Source organism: Homo sapiens, chromosome 10 (assembly GCF_000001405.40).
Source record: "Homo sapiens chromosome 10, GRCh38.p14 Primary Assembly".
Lineage (NCBI taxonomy): Eukaryota > Metazoa > Chordata > Mammalia > Primates > Hominidae > Homo > Homo sapiens.
Genome location: NC_000010.11, coordinates 69,211,145 through 69,234,605, shown reverse-complemented (window position 1 = coordinate 69,234,605; position 23,461 = coordinate 69,211,145). Strand labels below are relative to the sequence as shown.

Below are 23,461 nucleotides of genomic sequence, written 5' to 3'. Positions count from 1 at the left end.
TCAGCCCAACAAGCAGATGTTATTATCCCTGCTTTACAAATGAGAAAACAAGGTGGGACACAATGGCCCATGCCTGTAATCCCAACGCTTTGGGAGGCAGAGGCAGGCAGATTACTTAAACCCAGGAGTTTGAGACCAGCTTGGGCAATATAGTGAGACCTCATCTCTACAAAGAAAAAAATAAAAATAAATAAAATTTTCTCAAAGAGAAAACAAGAGGCTCATGAAATTAAGGAACTGGTCCAAGGGGACACAATTTGTCCTGAACCATGATTCAAAGCCATGTGTGTGGAACATGAAAGCTCATTCCCTTTCACTATTCCACACCAATAAGTGACTCAAGCCAACAATATCAAGCACATCCCAAGGAGGTCCATGTGACTGTCAACTGGGCATCATAACCAGGAGGGCCAGGAGGAGGAGATTGATCAGGGTCCCCAACCCAGACAGGAGTGGCCCGGGGAGACTAGACTCTTGACAGTAACTCCCCCAACCTGGCCCCAGAACGTCCCCTTATTTGCTGTCTTTATTCACATAAGATTGGGTTAGCTTCCTCCTGCTTACAGATTGAAAACTGAGACACACAGAGATGAGTTACCAGGAACCCCGGCCTAGCTGGTGACACAGTTCAGACTGTGTATCCCAGGCTCTGTGTCTGCTCCAGGACATTCTCACTCCTCCAGTGCCCCCATTCCTTTTTTTTTTTTTGAGACGGAGTCTTGCTCTGTCACCCAGGCTGGAGTGCAGTGGCACAATCTCGGCTCACTGCAAGCTCCGCCTCCCGGGTTCACGCCATTCTCCTGCCTCAGCCTCCCAAGTGGCTGGGACTACAGGCGCCCGGCACCACACCCAGCTAATTTTTTGCATTTTTAGTAGAGACGGGGTTTCACCATGTTAGCCAGGATGGTCTCGATCTCCTGACCTCATGATCCGCCCGCCTCGGCCTCCCAAAGTGCTGGGATTATAGGCGTGAGCCACCGCGCCTGGTCCTCCAGTGCCCCCATTCTAATCCTCCTCCTGAGGGCTCACTACAGGGAGAGACTCCCCAGCCTTCCCATGTTTCTTCTAGTTGGCTATGTCAGTGGTCCTAAGTGCAGGCCTCAGGCAGCATCACATCTGCCAGGAACCTGTCAGGGAGGCGAATTTAGGGCCTCCTTGCAGAACCACTGATTCCAGTAGGCCCAGCAATCTGTGCTTAAAACAAGCCCTCCAAGGAATTCCTCACACCAAGGTTTGAGAGCTAGTGAAAAGCATTCTACTCCCCCGAGCTGTGCCCACGTTAATCATAAAATCAAGGCCATTGCGTTAACAAGTTCTCTGCCTCACGCTGCCACCTCATCATGAACAAAAAGAAAAGAAAAAGACAAACAAGAAAGCTCCTGCTGTTCTCTCCTGCGTGCAGCCTGACTCCCACCCGTGCCCACATTCCCCAAGCCCCAATTCCTGCACTGCTGCTTCCCTCCGCGCCTTACCTCTTCCAGTTTAGTCTGTCGACAGGGGAAAGAAAAAGTTAGGCCAAGGGGCAATTTCTTATGCTTTAAATCTTTGGTCTTCATGAAATCTGCCAGACAGTCAGCTACATATTCAAACAGCTGCAGAGAAGAGAAAGCAAAGTACATGGGCTAAGGTGTGGTTTCCCCACACACGGATGCCACCGCCTTCCCTGCGGTCACAGGAGCCACCTGCCAGGTACCTCTGTGCCGTTCCCGCGGATGATTTCATTGGGCGTTGGGTAGAACTGACTCTCCATCTGCACGTGTCGCTTCCCCTCTTCAGCGACTTGCACCTTCAGCACTCGGAACTTGGACCCTCCGAGATCCAGGGAAAGGAACTCCCCATTTTCTATTAAGAAACAAATTCAGTTTCCATTTATTGAGGGTCTACTACAGATATGGCAAGCTCTGCATTAGAGGTTGGACATATAATCAACGTCTTCAAATCACAGCCACTAGGTATCATTATGCTCATTTGCCAAGGCTGAGGACTCTGGCCATTTCTCAGAGCCCTCGAGGTAAGGCGCAGAGCTGAGATGTGAACTAAGTCAGCCTGACTCTGCAGCCTGAGCCCAACCCACTGGCTCATGCTGTAGGAATGTGCATGTCAACTGGAGAGGGCAAATGTGAGCACAGCCCTTGCGGTGGTATGAGAGGTGGCCTCGACGGTGGAGCCCATCCTGGGATGCCATCACTGGGAAGAGAGAGCTGGTGCTCCCAGCCTGGGGAAACTCGGATAAAGGTATGAGGGGGAAGACAGGATGTGCGGCGAGGAGCAGCCAGCCTCCTGCAGCCGATGATCCTATGGGCAGAGGGAAAACACTCCTGGAGGGGAGAGGAGACAGGGACTAAACAATGGCCCTTGAGGTGCCAAGGATGCTGATTTTTTTAGGCCAGAGCCACTCCAAAAGGAGACATTGGAACACAACCCAGCCCAGCCCAAGACAGATGCCATTAATTGAAAGGTGGGGGCTGGGCACAGTGGCTCATGCCTGTAATCCCAGCATTTTGGGAGGCCGAGACGGGCAGATCACCTGAGGTCAGCAGTTCAAGAACAGCCTGGCCAACTTGGTGATGTTGCTGCTGTTGCTGGTCTGTAGACCATAGTTAGAGTAGCAAAGGTGCAGCCAGCTCGATTTTTTGTTTTTGTGTAGACATCCGGAAATTCTTACCTTCACAGATCAGCCACAAAGGAGCTGATGGAGTCATTTATTATTTGGTGAGGGAATTCAGGGAGTTAATCCTATGCAACTTTTATTAGTATATATTATGCACCAAGTAAGAGGGTTCTCCCAGATGCTGTCTTGCTGTGTAGGAGGTAGGGTAGATCCCACAATCTATGTCCACACATTTACTGAGCATCTACTCTGTGCTGAGTAACATGTGTTAGGTGCTAGGGATGCGCAGATGAAAGACGGTGTGCTCCCTGGGAAATTGATCCGAAATACAGGCGCATAAATCAGCTATTTCCATATAGTAGGACCAGTGCTCAGATTGTGAGAGGCACAGGGAGAGATATCCAGGTCAAAGCTGGGAGACAAAGGCAGCTGGCTTTGCAGGGAGGGGACACAGAGCTGAGTGTTGAAGGGTGAGCAGGAGTCAGGCTGCCAGGCTGCCGGGAGCGGGGGTCCCAGGGAGAGGAACCACGGGCAAAGGAATGAGAAAGCATCCGCTAAGAGTGAGTGTGCTTTTGCCAAAGGAGGGCAGCTGTCACAGAAATGAGGTTGGAAGGTGGCTCTCAGGTTAAATTTGGAAGGATTTGGAAAAGCTATCCACCCCAAGGAGCTTGGGCTTTATCTGGAAGGTGAGAGGGAGCTGCAGAAAGATTTTAAGCTAGGGAGTGCCAAGATCTGAGATTCTGGGGACAAATGCCTCTGACACCAACCAGAATAGACTGAGGGTTTAACAAAAGAAGAGGCTGCTGCACTGCCATCGGACGGGAGGGGATGTGCTGAGACCTGGCCAGTGTCGGTGTGGAGGCATCCCACTCCCGGCCCGCATCGCAATCACTATCAAACACCTCACTCCACCAGTGGCTCGAGGTGCCATTTCATGGATGCCACATGGTGTGATCCCTTCTGTCTCTGACCCCAGAAAAAAGGAACCAGTGGACCCTGGGAGAGGGAGGACTTGCCCAGGCAACAGCAGTCTGTGGGGCCTCAGAGTCTTCACAGACATCAAGAAAACAGCCCCGGCCAGGCACGGTGGCTCACACCTGTGGTCCCAGCACTTTGGGAGGCCCAGGCAGGAGAATTAATCCCTTGCCAAGAGTTCAACACCAGCCTGGTCAATATGGTAAAACCCTGTCTCTACAAAACAAAAGACAAAAAAGTCAGTTGGGCGTAGTGGCATGCACCTGTAGTCCCAGCTACTTGGGAGGCTGAAGCAGGAGGATCACTTGAGCCTAGAAGGTCAAGGCTGCAGTGATCTATGATGGCTCCATTGCACTGCAGGTTGGGCAACGGAGGGAGACCTTGTTTCTAAAAAGAAAGAAAAGAGAAAACAGTGTCCTAAGCGGGGTAAATTGCTTTGGCCAATCTGCCTGCTCCAGAGGACCCTCCATGAACTGCCTTGGACCCAATGGTTCCCTTCTCGTAAGTCACTGCTGGTGCTGGTGCCTTCACTCCCTCCTTTTACCCAGTGCAGAGTCTCCCAAAGGTGCACAGTGGCTGAATGCGGAGATTCCTGGAGATTCAGAGTCCCCAGGGGGAGGGGCTGGGAAAGTGTGTATTAGGAAACACTCGAGGCTCCAGGCTGACGACCTCAGGGCTCCCGGGCTCACCCCCAAGGCCTATTTGGCCTTGGAGGCTGACTGGAGGCTAAGGCCTGGAACAGAGCCAGCAGGGGTCAAGCCAAAGAATCACAGTCACCCTCATGCTTCCCATGCCCCTTCCATGACTGGCAGAGAAGGCTCCAGTATTAACACAGCACTTTTAAGGCACTTGATCCTGTCAGAACAGACCACTGCAGCCCCCTGACCAAAAGGCTGGGTGGTAACTAAGGCTCAAACAGGTGACTCCCTCGCAGATAGGTCCTGATGGGAGTAGGCAAACTCAGGACTTCTCTGGAAGCTGCATACATTTCTGAAACGGACACCATAAGGAATTAGGAGAGTTTTGCTTGTTTTTTGTCGGTAATCATGAAATTATACCACCAGCTCACAAGAGCTAGGAGGACTTGGGACAAGATTTTAGAGATGTTAAAGCACGCCATCCACATGATCTCATTAAATCCTGACAATCATGTATGGTGCCGGGATTTACCAAGAACACCTGGCTTATTAGGGACTCTGGGCCCAGGGACCTCGGCACAACAGAATCACTGGTGAGATGCTTTGTGTGGTGAGAGGCTCTGCGGAGACGGGGATGGGGAGCTGGGCGTCTTCCCGGCTAAGGAGGAGAGAGTTTCTATGACTTAGTTAGTTTCACTTCTGAACCTTCAGAAGCAGCCAGGGCCAGGAGGACACCGCCTGTCCCAGAGCCTCCAGACCATCAAAGGCCACCTTCCCTTGCTTCTGGGGACACACCTTGTCTGTATCAGGAGGAGGGGCTGCAGTCCAGGAAGCCAGGCGGACTTAGCCCTGGTGCTCCCCACATGACTCAGCTGCTTCCTCCCAGGGGCCCCAGATGCCCTGTCAAGGACACGTCCCAGTACTCTCGTCAAGCTGTGGCAAGGACAGAGCCAAGATTTCAAAGTAGGGCTGTCTCTCTCCGAAGCTCAACGTCCTTCCAGGACAGGGCACTGTCCATCCCAAGCACCTACCCACAAGTGAGGGCACAGGGCCTTTCCCAGTGCAGTGTCCCAGGGCCTCTCAACCAGCAGAGCCAAGCTACCTTGATCCAGGCATTGCTCCAGAGAGGTCCAGAACACGACTGATCCCATCAAAGCCCCCTGAGAGCTCCCAAACCTCAGACCCTGCTCCTGCGAGAGCCCCAGTGCTCTTTCACGAGCTCGGTTTGGGCACTGGGACCCTGACATGGGAGAAACCCCTTGGTCCTTGGTGGTTCTGTCTGAACAGCCACACCACAGGGTTGTCACAGGAAATATGTGGCTCAGCGAGTCCCCAGCACCCCATGACCACAGTGGTTGCTCAGTAAATGGCAGCTTTCTCTCTTTCTTTCTTTCTTTTTCTTTGCTTTCTTTCTTTCTTCTTTCTCTTTCTTTCTTTCTCTTTCTTCTTTCTTTCCTTTCTTTCTTCTTTCTCTCTCTTTCTTTCTTTCTTTCTTCTTCCTTTCTTTCTTTCTTTTTTGATGGCGTCTCGCTCTGTCACCCAGGCTGGAGTGCAGTGGCGCAATCTCGGCTCACTGCAACCTCTGCCTTGCAGGTTCAAGTGATTCTCCTGCCTCAGCCTCCCGAGTAGCTGGGATTACAGGTGCATGCCATCACACCTGGCTAATTGTTGTATTTTTAGTAGAGGTGGAGTTTCACCATGTTGGCCAGGCTGGTCTCGAGCATCTGACCTCAAGTGATCTGCCCCCCTCGGCCTCCCAAAGTTCTGGGATTACAGGCGTGAGCCACCACTCCAGGCCAGTAGCAGCCCTTTTCCCTCTTACAGCTTCATTCAGAGGCTGAGAATGGAAGAGTTGGATGGGACCTCATAGATCCTATCTACAGATTTCTAGGCCATTGTAGGCAAAATAATGTCCCCCACCCCCAACAAAGATGCTCACATCCTAATCCCCAGATCCTGTGAATATCTGAGGGTGCAAGGCAAAGGGGAATTAAGGTTGCAGATGGGATCAAAATTGCTCATCAGCTGACCTTGAAGTTGGGAGATTATCCTGGATTATCTAAGCATGACTAACGTGATCACAGGATCTTTAAATGTTGAAAGGAGGCAGAAGGTCAGGTCAGAGAGGGACCTGAAGAGGCTACACTGCTGGCTTTGAGAACAGAAAGGGGCATGCCTCAAGGATGCAGGTGGCCTCTCGAAACTGGAAAAGTTAAGGAAACAGATTCTCCCCTCAAGCTTCCAGAAGGAACGCAGCCCTGCCGACACCTGAATTTTGGCCCAGTGAGACCCACTGCAAACTTCCGTCCACCAGAACTGTCAGAGAATATATTCGATTGTTTTCAGCCACTGTGATTGTAGTAATACATCACAGCAGCCATAGGAAACAGATACATAGGCCATTTCTCATTCTACAGCTGGGCAAACTGAGGCTAAACACTTGCCTCAGGTCACTGAGAGTGACAGAGCTGGGCCTCAGACCCAGGTTTGTTGAATTATCATTGAATGTGATTTCCACTACATCATTCTTGCTCCCATTACTCATTCCCAGTGCTACACTAGGTGCTGGGAACACTGTGGTAAGACCTTGGACCCACGGAGTGAGTGGTTAATTTGGTGGAGACTCAGAGTGGGGACACAGCAAAGTGACAAGTGCCCTGACAAGCACCCAGCCCAGCACAGGGATACTTCCTAGATGGAGGCAGGGACCACTACGCTGAGACGGAAAAGCCACGTTGATACTCACCAGGGAAGAACATGGAGATGCTCCAGGAGGAGAGGGAGCAAATGTGTGAGGCCACGATGGGCAGAGAAGCCACGGTGCCTGGGGCTGCAGAACTGCAGAACTGCAAGAGGGATTCAGCAGGACTGAAGCAGAGAGGGGCAGGGAGGGTGGGACAGCAGAGAGAGGGCTAGAGAGAGAAGCCAAGGTACAGGGGCAAACCTTAGGTACTTTAGACACCCATCAGCCAAGAGGAGCCAGGGACCCTGGCAGCGGACAACTGCACTCACCGGAACCATCGGGAATGGCCCTGACGAAGGTGGGCAACATCTTCACTGCAGCCGTGGGGTTGGTGTCCTTTGCCAGGCCCTTCTCCATCTCAGCCCGGAACCGCCTCATGATGTCCAAAAGGGTGTCATCGGAGAGCCGCATGTGATACAGGAACCTGTCCACCTGGAACAGACACCGGCCACCAAGGGGTGCTGCTGGGGGCCCTCACCCTCCAGTCGAGGCTGTAACCCCCGACATCCCTCAGCAAGCTGCATTCCTGACTCTGGGGACAGCATTGAGATGTGGATTCCCAAAGCCTCCCTATCTGACCCCTCCTCAGGCAGAGGACAGGGAAGCGAGTTAGGAAAGCAGAATGGAACGGAGGGCTGAGAAGGTGTGGAGTTACTTCTCTGAAGGGCAGAATCTGAGGAGAAAATGATTCTCCCATTATTCTGATGAGACAAGGGAGAGGCAGAAACTAAGAAGGATTCAGGGTTTCCGATTCCCAGTTCAGGGCCCTCACCAGTGTCCCATTCCTCTCCACCAAAAAAGGCCAGCTAGAGCTTGAATCGTAGATTTCTAAACATGGAAGCTTTCTTTCATCCAATGATGACCACAGATATAGCTAGACAGGTTTCTCTTTGTTTACTGGCTGCTAGGAAGCTCAGAGCTAAATTTCATTTCCAAAAGCAATGCCTAAATCTAGCCCTTTAAATTTCCCTCCTTTTTTTTTTTAAGACAGAGTCTCACTCTGTCGCCCAGGCTGGAGTGCAGTGATGAGATCTCGGCTCACTGCAGCCTCCACCTCCCAGGTTCAAGCCATCCTCCTGCCTCAGCCTTCTGAGTAGCTAGTATTACAGGCAGGTGCCACCAGGCCCGACTAATTTTTTTTTATTTTTATTTTTAGTAGAGATGGGGTTTCGCCATGTTGGCCAGGCTGTTCTTGAACTCCAGACCTCAAGTGATCCACACGCCTCGGCCTCCCAAAGTGCTGGGATTACAGGCGTGAGCCACCTCACCCAGCCATAAATGTCCATTTTGGTTTAACTGAGTTGTTCTAGTTAAGACAAAGCTGAATTTTTAAAGTCAGCTCAGATTGCTATTGAAAATGAGTGGATGTCACTCATGTAACCAGGAAACGGGGACAGAGGACCATACCCAAAGGAGGGAAGTTATACAAATCACTATGGCTAAAATCAGTCCTCTTGTTGGTAATATGTCACATCAGGGACGGCAGCAAAGCTTCCTCCCTCACACTAATTAACACTAATCAATTGGTGCTGGCAGTCTGGAGCCCGGGCTCACTGGGATGGATTATTGATGGGGGCAGGAGGAGAGACAGGGGCATATGCACCCTGTCCTTTCCAGCCCTGTTTTTATACTGAGCACTCTCCACCCTCCAGGTGACAGGAGGCTCCATCCCAGGCACATTCCCGGTGAAAGGGCATTTTATCCAGGGTGAAGAACACGTGCTACTGTCTACAGAGTGCGTCCACGTACGTCACCTCTTCTCATCGCCACAGCATCCCTTTGAGGCAGCCACGTAAGGCCAAAGTTCTTGTCCCCAGGTGAGAGGTGAGGTGAGAGGGCTGCAGAGCTGTGGCTACGTGGGACTGTAACATAGGCTCTAGATCACTCACCCCCATGGCCTGGCTTTGGCTCACAGCTCTGTCGGGGATGCATAAGCCCGACAGACAAATTATACCAAATGCACAGGGCTCACATTACCTTCGCGCTAGGACAGGGGCCCGGTCATCAGCCAGGCCTCAGAGGCCAGGACCCAGCTCAGTCTCGTGACAACGAACAGACCCAAGACACTGAAATGGTACCATGGCTCCGGGGACTCGGGGGCCAGAGAAAGACCAGAAAATCATCAGACAGCCATTAGCAAAAAAGGACAATTGAGCTTTCAGCATATTTGAGAAACAGGATGGAACCAGGTCAGGCTTCATTAAGGGCTTCCTGTTCCCCCAAGGCTGTTTATGACTAATTGGTTGGCACAGCCACACACAAGCCGAGAAAACTGGATGCAAAGGACGTGACCCAAGTAATTGGGGTTGGGGAAGGGTGGGATGCTGTATGTGGGAACCAAACTTGATTCTTTCCTACCCAAAGGGCTCTCAGACAGTGCCCCTGAACCTACTGATCATTTTTGCTTAGCCTGAGAGTATAAAAAACTCCAGGCATCCACACAATGTTATCCCTGCCATGTAAGTCCTGTTTTTTGAGACCCAGTTGGGGTCATTTGCGACTGGGGTTTAATGGGGTCATTGAGCACTTGGTTTGCTGCTGCTCTTTCAATAAGTTGAGGTTATGACAGAAAGAATGTCAACTCAGCAACAGTTTCCTTTTGATCTTCTGTATCTGCCACAGCACCAGGAACAGTTGTTAGAAGGGAAAAGTGAAACATATGTTGGGACAAAAAGCACCTATTTTCAATCCAAACAAGTCATGTGGGGTATGTGTAACCAGGGACACACGTCCCAGGCACTAAGGGAGAGTACTGGTGCTGCAGAAAACCAAGCCCACTTTTGGAGAGACACACAAACCATCATGGGAGATATCGTCTAAGCAAGAAAGCCAACCAGCAGCCCGTTTCACTTAGAAAGAGCAAATCCAACATTCAAGACTCAAGACTGAATTGCAGAAGGTGGGAGCTGGAGGGGCCTTAGAGCTCGTCTAGTCCAAAGGTCTCACATTAGGAATGAGAGTCATAAAAAATTCCGCTCTTTGACCCAGGGCTTTCATTTCCAGAACCTATTCTCAGGAAATAATCCTGACTATGGAGAACCATAAATCTCTACCAAGGCCGGGCGCAGTGGCTCACGCCTGTAATCCCAGCACTTTGGGAGGCCGAGGCGGGTGGATCACCTGAGGTCAGAGTTCGAGACCAGCCTGGCCAAGCTGGTGAAACCATGTCTCTACTAAAAATACAAAAATTAGCCAGGCGTGGTGGCGGGCGCCTGTAGTCCCAGCTACTTCGGAGGCTGAGGCAGGAGAATGGCATGAACCCAGGAGGCAGAGCTGGCAGTGAGCCGAGATCGCGCCACTGCACTCCAGCCTGGGTGACAGAGCGAGATTCCATCTTAAAAATAATAATAAAAAATAAATAAATAAAAATAAAACTAAAACTCTACCAAGGTTTAACATAACAATACTTTTATTTTATTTATTTTATTTTTGAGACAGGGTCTTGCTCTGTTGCCCAGCCTGGAGTGCAATGGTGCAATCACAGCTCACTGCAACCTCAACCTCCCGGGCTCCAGTGATCCTGCCACCTCAGCCTCCCAAGTACCTGGGACTACAGGCATGTGCCACCATGCCCAGCTAATTTTTGCATTTTTTGTAGAGACAGATCTCTCTATGTTATCCAGGCTGGTCTCGAGCTCCTGGAGGCAAGTGATCATCCCGCCTCAGCCTCCCAAAGTGCTGGGATTACAGGCATGAGCCACTTCATCCAGCCTAATATTTTAATTATTAAAAATGTTTTTGAAAGTATCCAAATGAGGCCAGGCATGGTGGCTCATGCCTGTAATCCCAGCACTTTGGGAGGCCGAGGCGGGCGGATCCCGAGGTCAGGAGTTCGAGACCAGCCTGACCAACACAGCGAAACCCTGTCTCTACTAAAAATACAAAAATTAGCTGGGCGTGGTGGTGCGGCCTGTGATCCCAGCTACTCAGGAGGCTGAGGCAGGAGAATCGCTTGAGCCCTGGAGGCGGAGGTTGCAGTGAGCCAAGATCGCACCACTGCACTCCAGCCTGGGAGACAGAGCAAGACTTCGTCTCAAAAAAAAAAAAAAAAAAAAAAAAATTAGATTGTGGTAATGGTTACACAACTCTGGATATTCGAAAGTATCCAAATGTCCAACAAGAGGAAAAGGTTAACTACATTATGGCATATCCACTTGATTGGATATTAAGAAGACATTGTAATGATAATTATGATGATAATGAAGAAATCTATGTAAGTGGTTACACTGTAACAGTAAGTGAGGGAAGCAGTTCAGAACTGTATGTACCTTATAAACATAACTAAAAACATACAGGATGAAGAAAAACTAGGAAGGCTTCCACCCAGCAAATATGAAAGTGTTTGAGATTAAAAGTAAATTAAAGGTGGAATTACAAGTAACATTTCCACTTTTTTGTAATGTTGACATACAGAGCCATGAAAAATACACACTGAAAACCTCCCAGTTCTCCTGTGGATGAACAATCTGCAGGTCAGTGACCAGGTCTGGCCTGGTGCTATCAATAGGTCAAATAATGTCAATATATTGAATTGGAAAAGAATCTGTCAGAGTGGTTTCTATTTTCGTTTTTTTCATTTTGTTTTATTTTTGTTTCCATGCTGGTATGGGAAGATTTTTAGAAATTGTTCCAGGGTCTCAGTAGTAACCCTTGCAGGCACCGCTGGCCCAGGATCTGGACAATTCTAGAGGCAGGAAGCACAGAGACGAAGAAGGGGACTCACTGCCTGACCGCAGAGAAACGAGCTGTGCCTTTTGACCAGGTGTGTTTCCACCACGTGTTGGGAGGAGTGTTCTCAGAACCATGACTCAGCCCAGCAGCCATAAACCAGTCTCCCACACTACCCCAGAGACTTCCTGGGGCACTTGCTTAAGGTGGCTATAAAAGTGCTTCCAACTTTCTCGCCTCCCACAGGGAGAGGGAGGTCAGCTCCCGGCATTGAAAAAGGCTGACTGTCCTTCCAGAAGGACCTGGAGCCCATCAGCAGAGGCTGCATTTCCCATCACAGGGTGCTCCTGAGCCTGCACCAGGGCTGTTGGACAAACATGTCCCGCATGATCCTAGGGTACAAAAGGTTAACCAACACAAAGGAGCCCAAGGAAATGAAATAAGTTTGCAGAATCAAAGGTTTCAGGGTTCCAAAGGCTCCCCCTTGGGGGTGGGAGAGACATGGTGCAACTTGTGCCTTTACTAAGCAGATAACAAAAGAAAGTGGATTCCTAGGCAGCGCCTCCTTAAGTAGCCAGTAGAGGGCTCTGAATCTAATCAACAAGTGATTGCTTTATAATGTTTTTAAATTTGCTACAACCTCTAACTCAACTCTCTAAATGAATAGAATTTAGTGGGAGTTTATCCCACCAAGTACCTGAGGGCTGTAAGGGGCCACACTTCCTCTCTCTCTTTCTTTGTTTTGTTTTGAGACGGAGTCTCATTCTGTTGCCCAGGCTGGAGTACAATGGCATGATCTCGGCTCACTGTAACCTCTGCTGCCCGGGTTCAAGGGATTCTCCTGCCTCAGCCTTCTGAGTAGTTGGGATTACAGGCGCACTCCACCACGCCCAGCTAATTTTTAAATTTTTAGTAGAGACGGGGTTTCACCATGTTGGCCAGGGTGGTCTCAACCTCCTGACCTCAGGTGATCCACCCACCTTGGCCTCCCAAAGTGCTGGGATTATAGGTATGAGCCACCATCCTTGGCCTTTTTTTTTCTTTTCTTTCCTTTTTTTTTCAGACAGGGTCTCACTCTGTCACCCAGGCTGGAGTGCAGTAGCGCAGTCTCCCGGGCTCAAGCCATCCTGCCACCGCAGCCTCCCGAGTAGTTGGGACTGTAGGCACACACCACCATGACCGGCTAATTTTTACATGTTTTGTAGAGATGGGGTTGCTCCATGTTGCCCAGGCTGGTCTCAAACTCCTGACCTCAAGTTTGAGATGAGATCTGCTCATCTCAGCCTCCCAGTGTATGCAGATTACAGCCGTGAGCCACGGTGCCTGGCCTCCTTATTCATTTTGTAAAGCAGGAGGGAGTCATGGCACAGCAGAAAGCATTGAAGGAAGAGTCAGCCAACTTGGATTTAATCCTCATTCCATCCTAAATACTTGGTGACCTTGGCTAAGTCCTCCTGCTAGGAGGACTTCTGTCATCTGCACTTTGAGAGATGCTTTTTGCCCAGGGCCGTGACAGCCAGCCGGTGTGGCCAGAGTAGCAGACTGGGCTCATTTTAGCTGCCTGGAAAGAACCCTGGTTCCCTCCTGTTGACCCTTGGCAACCTTTAACCAGCCCACTTTGGAATGAATTTTGTAGACAAGTTCCCTGAGCAAAGTGACAAAATAATGCACACCATGAATAGTGTACCATTGGCAAATAGCAGGTGCCAATAATAGATATTTCAATTACTGTCTATTGCAACTCACACCTTCTTGCTGCCCACATTTATATGCTTTCAAATACATGAACAAACAGATCTGCCCCAACAGTTCTTTTTTTTTAGATGAAGTCTCACTCTTGTCCCCTAGGCTGGAGTGCAATGGCGCGATCTCGGCTCACTGCAACCTCCACCACCTGGGTTCAAGCGATTCTCCTGCCTCAGCCTCCCGAGTAGATGGGATTACAGGTGCCCGCCACCACACCCAGCTAATTTTTGTATTTTTAGTTGAGACGGGGTTTCACCATGTTGGCCAGGCTGGTCTCGAACTCCTGACCTCAGGTAATCCGCCCACCTCGGCCTCCTAAAGTGCTAGGATTACAGGCGTGAGCCACTGCGCCCAGCCTTCTGCTCCAACAGTTCTTAAAACTTCTTTGAAAATGATTCTCCTCGCCTTTGTGGCCTTTCCGAGCAAACATCCCTTACAGCAAACACAATCCTCTTCAAGCTTTCCAAACACCCTCCTCACCCGCTTCCGCATCCAATACCTGCCAGGAAGTTCCGAGTGAAGTGTAAGGTTCAGGACAGTAATGCAATGCCCAGGAGTGTGGGAGAATTACTCCCTCTTCCCTCAGTGAGTCTTTTACTGGTCATATGCTCCCAGTATCTTTTCTAATAAGCTCTCTTCACTCCCTTCTGATTTTTTTTTTAAGGGAATCAGTTTTGTCCGTGAAGAAGGAGCTGGGCATCTCTCAGCTTCGTGGGTCCTCCTTACCTTCTTGATCTGGTCCTCCTTCAGCTTGCTGAAGTAAAATGCCATCAAGTGGACCGCAAACATTTTCCCCAAGTTTGGTTTCTCCTGAGATGGGCAGAGATTCCTGTGCAGTGTTCACTCCTACGACTCTGGAGTGTTGCACGCTTCCAGTCCAGGCTGGCAGACCTCCTGGGGAGCGAGGTGTTGCGGACTAAATACCTCCAGCCTGCTTGGTTCAATGATTAAACTCCCCCCCACCCCACCCCTTTGGTCCCTCCCTCTGGCACACACTTGATTGTCTAATAGGAGGCTCTGGATGGTAGCTGAGGTTTAGTGGAGGGGGAAGCAGGGTATTGATGGGTTGCTTGACTACTTGAGAATTGGGTGCCACCAAATCTCATTGCTAAGCAACCCTCTCAAGCCGGGGCTCTGCCAAGCCCACTCAGCCGAGGAAAATCTTCTGCGAAGTTGGGCACTAAACAAAGCCAACTTTCAACCGGTGGAGCTGCTCTGCAAATTTCCAGTCCCAGGCTTTTCTCTTTAGTTTTTTATGCCAGTGGCATAACTCTGTGACCCCCTGCTCCTCAGAAGCACTGAACTAACTAAAACTAAACATTGTCCTGGTCAATGGGATTTCAAGAATGTTGGGGCAGATTCTTCCATTTGTGACAGATCAGATCTCTTAACTAATAGCCCATGGTTAACAGAAAATGATCAATAAATGTTTACCTATTCACAGTGTTAAGCCAGAAAATCTTTAGTTCACAGGTAGTGACCCAGGAAAAAATATTCCTGAGAAAGAGTGAACTGAAGTCACCAGTGCTCACTGGGAATCACTGCTGGAGAGAAGGAAGTCACAGATAAGAAATGTCTCAGTCCAGCCGGGTGCAGTGACTCACGCCTGTAACAATCGCAGCACTTGGGGAGGCCGAGGCAGGCAGATCATGAGGTCAGGAGTTCGAGACCAGCCTGGCCAACATGGTGAAACCCCATCTCTACTAAAAATACAAAAAACTTAGCCAGGAGTGGTGGCAGGTGCCTGTAATCCCAGCTACTTGGGAGGCTGAGGCAGGAGAATCACTTGAACCTGGGAGGCAGAGGTTGCAGTGAGCCGAGATCGCGCCATTGCACTCCAGCCTGGGTGACAAGAGCAAAACTCCATCTCAAAAAAAGAAAAAAAAGAGAAATGTCTCAGGCCACTGAGATGTTTTATTCACTCACTTCTCACTCATCATACTTGACATGAGAAGGACCCAGAAAGCACCCAATACATGGGTACAATCAACCTTGCACTCTTCCCACAGTCACTGGCTGGCTAATGAAACCAATAACAACAGCGTTAACAACAGCGGCTAACATGGATGGAGCATTTACCAATCCCATTTTGTTTTTATTACTCTTGTTATTATTATTTTTTAGACAGGGTCTCATTCATCCCCCAGGCTGGAATGCAGTCGTGGAATCATGACTCGCTGCAACATCAGCCTTCTGGGCTCAGGTGATCCTCCCATCTCAATCCCCAGGGTAGCTGGGGCTACAGGCACGTGGCACCATGCCCAGCTAATTTTTGTATTTTTGTAGAGATAGGGTTTTGCCATGTTGCCCTGGCTGGTCTTGAATTCCTGGGCTCAAGCGATTTACCCACCTCAGCCTCCCAAAGTGTTGGAATTACAGGCATGAGCCACTGCTCCCGGCCCACTCTTATTTTATAGATGAAAAAATTGAGGCCCAGAAAGGTTACGTGATCACAAAGCCATAAACAGGACAGCAAGGGGTCAATCCTGGAAGTTTGATTCCAGGGCCCAGCTATAATACATGGCATTGGCTCTCCAGCCCTGCTTTCTCCACGCAATAGATACTCAATAGATACGCAATTGATAACTATTAGTAGCAGCATTCTGTTGGGATGTTAAGAATTTGTTTTTCTTTTTCTTTTTTTTGAGACAGAGTCTCACTCTGTTGCCCAGGCTGGAGTACAGTGGCTCAATCTCAACTCACTGCAACCTCCACCTCCTGGGTTAAAGCAATTCTCCTGCCTCAGCCTCCTGAGTAGCTGGAATTCAGTGCTCTCTACCCATTGCCGTGTGGACGAGCCATCAGGTCTCACTTAAGCCCACAATGCAGAGGAGGCTCGGTTAAAATTACTCCAGATGCTTTATTCAGATTGATATAAGCATATTAAAACTGTCTCCCAGATTGAGGATCCCCATCCTTTTCAGTCAATTTACCCTCAGACTATGACTTTTAGCTTGCTCCTTTATTACACAAGCAAACAAAGATGAACCTTTAGTTCCCCAAACCATTCAGTGCCCCAAACCAGGTGGAATTGTTGGTATTCTGAAATGCGCATCCTAGGCCCTAGCCCCCATTGGCTGAGGATAACATCCTGGGAAGGCCATCTGCCCGTAAGTGATGACATTATTTATCCTAATTCCCCCACTAGTTGATTTATTTCAGAAACAGAGTCTCACTACATCTTGTCTTGCCCAGGCTGGATTTGAACTCCATCCAGTCTTGCCCAGGCTGGATTCGAACTCCTGGGCTCAAGTGATCCTCTGGCTTCAGCCTCCTGAGTAGCTAGGACTACAGGCTTGCATCACCACACCCAGCATTTAATTCCCCCATTTAAAAAGTAACCTGGGCTGGGCGCAGTGGCTCACACCTGTAATCCCAGCACTTTGGGAGGCTGAGGTGGGAGGTGGGCAGATTGCCTGAGGTCAGGAGTTCGAGACCAGCCTTGCCAACATGGTGAAACCCTGTCTCTACTAAAAATGCAAAAATTACCTGGGCATGGTGGCGGGTGCCTGCAATCCCAGCTACTCAGGAGACAGAGGTAGGAGAACTGTTTAAACCCAGGAGGTGGAGGTTGCAGTGAGCCAATATTGCACCACTGCACTCCAGCCTGGGCAACAGAGTGAGACTCCATTTCAAAAAAAAAAAAAAATGTAACCTGGGCAGTGCAGTATGAACCAACTGTCATTGATTTGTTCGACATAGGGATAAGAGGTTACAGTAGCCAGTGGTCAAAAGATGCAAACCATAACCAAAGATCTCTGTAATCTCACGGTTGCTTGTGTGAGTCAGATAGGCAGCCTTTGGAATTTTAATCAGGCAAATGACACCAGAGGATTTTCATCTATTGCATCATTCCCTTTTTAATCTGAGCACATTAGCGTCTACATTCCAGGCCTGAGTAAGGTGACTAAACCAGGAAGTTTAATGATTACAGAGATCACATGCATTTGGAGTCATCTAGCTCAGCCCTCTCACTTTATAGAATCAAGACAAAATAATTAGGTTATTTTATCATTCCTCATCTGATTACTCCAATTCAAGTCTTGGGATTTTTCACCCTTACTACAGTTCTATTGGCTATTCAAGGATATCTAGGTTTAAATCTTATAAGTAGTTGGATTTTGCTTAAGAACACCCATTTGAGGGCCGACACTGACAAGTGACATTTTAGTTAAAGCGTATCACCCATCTGGCCCAAATCTTCCATGTAAGAAGGGAAACTCTCCCATCTGTAGACACATCTCCGTTTCATAGAGCTCCACTTTAATCTACACGGTCCGTTTTGGCAAGGCTCAAAGATAATTTCTGTTTCTCTTTAAGTACTGAGTATGGTGGGAGGACTAGAAGTCCAGCAAAATTTACCTATTTATTTAGCAAACACTTCCCCATGGGGTTTACTAGATGTCTTACGATATTAATTCCACAGTAACTGTCATTCTCCCTATTTTACAGATGGAGAAACCAAGGCACAGAGCCCAACTGGGACGCAGTGAAATCGAGATTTGAACGCAGGCAGTCTAGCTGCAGAGTTCTTGCTTGCCCGCTGTGCTACACTGGCTAGGCTGGAAACAAGGCACGGGGAGACTTGGGGCCTCAGCTGGAAAAATGGCCCTAAGCTCTTTCTAACACAGTGGAAAGTGCACAGGCCCTGGGGTCCTACTTTGGCTTTTCTTAAACTGCAGGTAAAGGTCCAAGTCTATATTCATATCTGTAAAAGCTTCATAGCTATGTCAGTGGTCACAGTGAGAAAGAAAGCAAATTATCACACAAGGAAAGGCATGTGGTCTACAGTGGGCACACTAGAAGCATCTCCTGAAGCTCAGCCTTTCCCTGGCTGGGGACCCCTCTTCGCTCACCCAACTTGGTCTCTTGGGATAAGAAAATGTGTGCAGACCTTTCAGTCCACTCAGTAAGGCATGATCCTAAACCATTAGAAAGTACCTGTTCCATGTACTGGAATTAAAGGAACAGTTGGGAATTTTATGGAAATTCTATTCCTGTTACTAAAGAAAACAGCTCTTGAATTCTGCCCTGTATTCTTTTTAATGGTAAGTCCAAAGTTAAGTCGTCATAACATAAATCAGTGTGACCTGCTGGTATTCCACTTGCTGCAAAAGAATCAGAAACTGTGTGGGAGAGCAAACTTCCATAATAAGAAAACCAATGTAGAGACTTCCAAACGCTGCCAGTGGTTACAGTCACAATGGTGTCTCTATCGGAGCAGCCACAAATGAAGCAGAAATGCTAACCTCAGCAAGTTTCAAAAGAATGCTGCTAATCATTTTTACAGGTTTATTCTGAACCGAAGACAAGGAATGCTCAGGAAGAAATTCTGACATGATTTCTAAATCACAACTGTACATTAAGGGTCATATTTGCAAAACACCTATCAAGGAAAGAAAAGCCATACAAGAAAATGCAGTTCATGTGACTTTTAACATTTTTCAGAATAATTACAATCTCAATTGCACAAAATAACCAACTTTTCAAAGCAAATGAGACTTCTGGTTAAACACGGCATTAACCTACAAGGACAAAAAGAAAGGAAACAGTGACTGATAAGAGATCTTAACATAATTCTGGAAGACAGGAAGCTCACGGAAGTAATTGCTTAGTAGAGCAAACACTGAAACCTGAGTGCCCGCAGAGGGTGACTCGGGTGAGAAAGGAGCTGTGACGTTTGTAAAACTCTAAAATGCTCAGGAATCAGAGGTCTGGGGCAAGACATAGAGCCAAAAACAAGAGATTGGTTAAAAAGCTATATAAAAAAGCTTGGCCAGGCACGGTGGCTCACCCCTGTAATCCCAGCATTTTGGGAGGCCAAGGCAGGTGGATCATTTGAGGTCAGGAGTTCGAGACCAGCCTGGCCCAGGTGGTACCCCCATCCCTACTAAAAATACAAAAAAAAATTAGCCAGGCATGGTGGTAGACACCTCTAATCCCAGCTACCCAGGAGACTGAAGCACAAGAATAGCTTGAACCTGGGGAACAGATTTTGCAATGAGCTGAGATTGCACCACTGCACTCAAGCTTGGGCGACAGACCCAGACTCCATCTCAGCGGAAAAAAAAAAAACCCCAAAAAAACCCAAACCCACAGGTATGGAAAAGGGAAAACTATAGAGACAGTAAACAAGTCAGTAGTGGCCAGGGATTTGGAAAGGTGGGGGATGCTGAATAAGTGAAACGCAAGGGCGTTTTTAGGGCAGTGAAACTATTCTGTATGACACTGTAACGGCAAATACATGACACACTTTCAAAACCCATAGAATTTGACAGCACAAAGAATGAACTTTAATGTACATACATTCAAAAAAACATTTAGGAGGTCAGCGACGCAACACAGACTGTGACATGAGTCTAACTGTGTTGCAAGTGTGTGAAATAGCCTCACTGAAGGGGAAGGGGAGGGAAAATATGCTGACCTAAGAAACTTTGGAAATTAATAGAGTAAGACTACAAGTAAAAGGAAGTGTATGTAGCACTGTATTCTGATTGATAAAGTTGCTTCCTGCAAGAGCACGCTTAACAATTCTGAAACCACTACACAAGAATACTGGAATTGAACAATTAAGTACATGGATGGTGGATGGCGGGAGGGAGGTTTCTTGCTGCTGGAGTGAGAGGCTTCAAGCAGGGGAGAAGGCTAGAATGATCCATGTCACTGGATTAGAATTGAGGACATCAGTATACACTCATGTTTAGCTTGATATTCATATAGATGACTATACATATATGTTTATATAAAGATTTGAAGACGTGTATATAGCTTAGTATACACGTGCATATGTCCTTGCTTTGTCAGCTGAGAAACACTAGAAGTAATGACACCCAGTAGCAACAAGCACACCTAGTGCCCAGATCAAAGAACCAGGTCTATACAAGATGGTCCTGGCGCATCTTGTAGTGCCAGAAAGGAAGGAACTAATCAACAAAACAAAAACCAAATGATACGGATGTGTCAAAGGAACACAGGAGCCAACTGAAAGTGAAAAAGTTCCTAATAACCAAAGCTAGAAAACATTGATAGGAGTGTTAAAAAAAAGAAAGAAAGAAAAAATTGGGCAAGATAAAGTATGATTGGATTATAACCCAAAGTCTACATTTCCATTAGCCCATACTGATGTTAACAAATAATTGTATAAATATATAAGTGAGGGAGAAAGGACCAATCTCCCATGCAGAAGAATGAACACAGATACTCCACCCTCAAAGAGGTGGAGCACAGTATACACAGTGATTCTTTCCAGACAGTTCAGTATGGAAAATGAGAAAAGGGTAACATGACAGTGAAGAAACCTGACACGTTGTCCTCAGGCATGTGATGAAGGTCAACTTCAGCAGGGTGAAGTCATGTTGACAGTACAGATCCGTGATATGAGGTGATAAGACCAGCACCTTACCTCTGGGCTCTTTCTCCCAAAACCCAAACCCTAGTCTAATCATAAGAAAAACATCAGACAAATCCCAACTGATGAATAGTCTATAGAATACGTGATTAGTACTTAAAGCTGTTGAGATCATCTACAGCAAGTCTGAGAAACTGTCACAGCCAAGAGGAGCTTAAGGAGACGACTAAATGTCATGTGGTGTCTTGGATGGGATCCAAAAGAGAAGAAGGCCACTGGGTAAAAACTAAGGAGATCTAAAAACCTGTGGCCTTTAGTTAATAATAATGTATCAGTCTTGGTTCATTAATTATAACAAACGTACCATACTAATGTAAGATGTTAATGGGGGAAATGTAAGATGTTAATAGGGGAAATGTGTTGGGTATATGGGAATTCTTTGTATTATCTTTGCAATTTTTCTGCAAATCTAAAACTATCCTAACTTTTTTTTTTTAAGTTTATGTTTAAAAAACCTTACAGGCCAGGCGTGGTGGCTCACGCCTGTAATCCCAGCACTTTGGGAGGCCAAGCTGGGTGGACCTCCTGAGGTCAGAAGTTTGAGACCAGCCTGGCTAACGTGGCGAAACCTCATCTCTAATAAAAATACAAAAATTAGCTGGCTGTGGTGGTGTGCACCTGTAGTCCCAGCTACTCTGGAGGCTGAGGCAGGAGAATTGCTTGAACCCAGGAGGCGGAGGTTGCAGTGAGCTGAGATCACACCATTGCACTCTAGCATGGGCAACAAGAGCAAAACTCCATCTCAAAAACAAACAAACAAAAAACCTTACAGATACTGCCTGGCATGTTGGCTCATGCTAGCACTTTGGGATCACCTGAGGTCAGGAGTTCGAGACCAGCCTGGCCAACATGGTGAGACCCAGTCTCTATTAAAAATACAAAAATTAGCTGGGTGTGGTGGTGCACGCCTGTAATCCCAGCTACTCAGGAGGCTGAGGCAGGAGAATTGCTTGAACTTGGGAAGCAGAGGTTGTTTTCTGTTTATTTGTATATTTGTTTGTTTTTTGAGATGGAGTCTCACTCTGTCGCCCAGGCTGGAGTGCAGTGGCACAATCTCGGCTCACTGCAACCTCCGCCTCCTGGGTTCAAGGGATTCTCCTGCCTCAGCCTCCTGAGCAGCTGGGACTACAGGCACGCGCCACCATGCCCAGCTAATTTTTATATTTTTAGTAGAGACTGGGTTTCACCATATTGGCCAGGCTGGTCTAGAACTCCTGACCTCATGATTCACTCCCTCCCACCCCACTGGCCTCCCAAAGTGCTGGGATTACAGGCGTGAGCCACTGCACCTGGCCTTGGGTGGCAGAGGTTGTATGACCAGAGTTCATGCCACAGCACTCCAGCCTGGGCAACAGAATGAGACTCTGACTCAAAAAATAAAATAAAGTAAAATAAACCTTACAGATACTGACATTTAGGGAATCATTTAAAAAGCCAGCTTATCATCCAATCAACCTGCATAAAAACTGAAAAGACATTAGGCCTATAAACAGAGCTCTCCATTAGCTTATTTCTTCACTTTTAAACATAGACACAGGCAAGGATCGCTAGACACATGAGACAAGTTTCCAACAATAAAGGTAGAAATCAAACCAAGCTGGGAAAAAAAAAAGGAATTAGAATAACGTAAGAAACAGAAGAAAACTTAAAAATTACTTTATCTAGAGATACTATAGGTGGAGGTTTATCTATTTTTTTGAGACAGGGTCTGGTACTGTCACCCAGGCTGGAGTGCAGTGGTGCCATCTCAGCTCACTGCAACCTCCGCCTCCTGGGCTCAAGTGATCCTCCCACCTCAGCCTCTCAGGTAGCTGGGACTACAGGCGCACATCAACATGCCGGGCTAATTTTTGCTTTTTTTGTAGAGACAGGGTTTTGCCATGTTGCACAGGCTGGTCTTGAACTTCTGAGCTCAAGCGATCTGTCCGTCTCAGCCTCCCAAAATGTTGGGATTACAGGCGTGAGCCACTGCACCCAGCCAGGTTTATGTATTTTAAAGCTGTGAAACAGGGGAGGGAAATCTCAGCATGACTCCCTTATCCATTTGCCTGTCCCATAGCAAATCTCTACTTTTCATTACATCCTAATAGGTTTGAGTTAGACACACACAGAATGACTGCATCATAATTACAGACTCCCAGTTTTGAGTCATAAGAGACTCTAATTTGTGATGATAGTTTTATATATTTGTGATTTACAGTCACTTTTCAAGAGTTTCATTTTGCAGATTTACACTCTTCCATATATGTAACATACAAAACATTACAAGTCACTGGATATTATTCCCAGTCATTTTCTAATCACATTTTATTAAATTATCAGGTCTGTATAGTGATAGGTTGAGATTAGTCTCTAAGCCTTAGTCCACATCCCATGTTTAAGTTCAGTGGAATCCATAATAATCCACGGAGGGCTCTCAGGTGAGTACTTCACAATCCGTGAGAAGACTGCAAGGACAGGAAAGAGCTGTCTCTCACAAAGAGTGACATGACCATAGTGAAATGGAAATGAATGCCTGGAATTTAGCTGGCCCTGAAGCCCACAAAGAAAGATAAGTGACATGACAAGCTTGTTGCAGAGAAGGAAGACTAGGCTGCTTTCTTGGTGACAATTTTAGGTACACTGAAGATAATTCTCCAGGGCCACTCCAATTCTATTTTTCCTGTTTTGCT

General features: G+C 47.7%; 1 protein-coding gene and 1 long non-coding RNA gene across 4 annotated transcripts in view, besides 9 other annotated features; one reads left to right on the top strand and one right to left on the bottom strand.

Annotated features, from left to right (window-relative positions):
• HKDC1 (hexokinase domain containing 1) overlaps window positions 1-14,274 on the bottom strand; it is a 47,221-nt gene extending 32,947 nt beyond the window's left edge. For all 3 annotated transcript variants that reach the window (XR_007061989.1, NM_025130.4, XM_011540195.3), the window contains exons 1-4: window positions 14,108-14,274; window positions 7,237-7,399; window positions 1,694-1,842; window positions 1,473-1,592 (exon numbers count right to left, since the gene is read on the bottom strand). Coding sequence is in view for 2 of the 3 variants with exons in the window: in NM_025130.4 (NP_079406.4) it covers window positions 1,473-1,592; window positions 1,694-1,842; window positions 7,237-7,399; window positions 14,108-14,170 (495 nt within the window). In the remaining variant the exon portion in view is untranslated. The remainder of the gene's footprint in view (window positions 1-1,472; window positions 1,593-1,693; window positions 1,843-7,236; window positions 7,400-14,107) is intronic.
• Window positions 1,234-1,959: an enhancer, noted in NCBI's record as "H3K4me1 hESC enhancer chr10:70992403-70993128 (GRCh37/hg19 assembly coordinates)". NCBI's record gives its function as "activates a minimal SCP1, AML or CMV promoter by ChIP-STARR-seq in naive H9 embryonic stem cells {active_cell/tissue: H9 hESC(naive)}" and the evidence as "EXISTENCE:reporter gene assay evidence [ECO:0000049][PMID:30033119]".
• Window positions 1,234-2,772: a biological region, named in NCBI's record as "MED14-independent group 3 enhancer GRCh37_chr10:70991590-70992789".
• Window positions 1,573-2,772: an enhancer, noted in NCBI's record as "MED14-independent group 3 enhancer chr10:70991590-70992789 (GRCh37/hg19 assembly coordinates)". NCBI's record gives its function as "activates an origin of replication core promoter dependent on BRD2, BRD4, P300/CBP and CDK7 cofactors, and independent of MED14, by STARR-seq in HCT116 cells {active_cell/tissue: HCT116}" and the evidence as "EXISTENCE:reporter gene assay evidence [ECO:0000049][PMID:35650434]".
• LOC101928994 (uncharacterized) lies at window positions 2,116-19,273 on the top strand. The gene is made up of 5 exons (NR_120648.1): window positions 2,116-2,235; window positions 8,620-8,784; window positions 11,381-11,439; window positions 11,581-11,729; window positions 17,834-19,273. It is a non-coding gene; the product is annotated as an uncharacterized LOC101928994 (long non-coding RNA).
• Window positions 4,769-4,818: an enhancer, noted in NCBI's record as "active region_3488". NCBI's record gives its function as "activates an Ori minimal core promoter by ATAC-STARR-seq in GM12878 lymphoblastoid cells {active_cell/tissue: GM12878}" and the evidence as "EXISTENCE:reporter gene assay evidence [ECO:0000049][PMID:35858748]".
• Window positions 4,859-4,918: an enhancer, noted in NCBI's record as "active region_3487". NCBI's record gives its function as "activates an Ori minimal core promoter by ATAC-STARR-seq in GM12878 lymphoblastoid cells {active_cell/tissue: GM12878}" and the evidence as "EXISTENCE:reporter gene assay evidence [ECO:0000049][PMID:35858748]".
• Window positions 5,218-5,387: an enhancer, noted in NCBI's record as "experimental_16995 CRE fragment used in MPRA reporter constructs". NCBI's record gives its function as "activates a minimal promoter by MPRAs in K562 erythroleukemia cells, with activity observed for both the introgressed and non-introgressed 10:70989060 variant alleles {active_cell/tissue: K562}" and the evidence as "EXISTENCE:reporter gene assay evidence [ECO:0000049][PMID:34662402]".
• Window positions 10,019-10,188: an enhancer, noted in NCBI's record as "experimental_16994 CRE fragment used in MPRA reporter constructs". NCBI's record gives its function as "activates a minimal promoter by MPRAs in K562 erythroleukemia cells, with activity observed for the non-introgressed 10:70984259 or rs56088826 variant allele {active_cell/tissue: K562}" and the evidence as "EXISTENCE:reporter gene assay evidence [ECO:0000049][PMID:34662402]".
• Window position 10,103: a transcriptional cis regulatory region, noted in NCBI's record as "Neanderthal adaptively introgressed variant 10:70984259 (GRCh37/hg19 assembly coordinates) or rs56088826 in the experimental_16994 CRE". NCBI's record gives its function as "modulates activity of the experimental_16994 enhancer by MPRAs in K562 erythroleukemia cells {active_cell/tissue: K562}" and the evidence as "EXISTENCE:reporter gene assay evidence [ECO:0000049][PMID:34662402]".
• Window positions 16,248-16,417: an enhancer, noted in NCBI's record as "experimental_16991 CRE fragment used in MPRA reporter constructs". NCBI's record gives its function as "activates a minimal promoter by MPRAs in K562 erythroleukemia cells, with activity observed for both the introgressed and non-introgressed 10:70978030 variant alleles {active_cell/tissue: K562}" and the evidence as "EXISTENCE:reporter gene assay evidence [ECO:0000049][PMID:34662402]".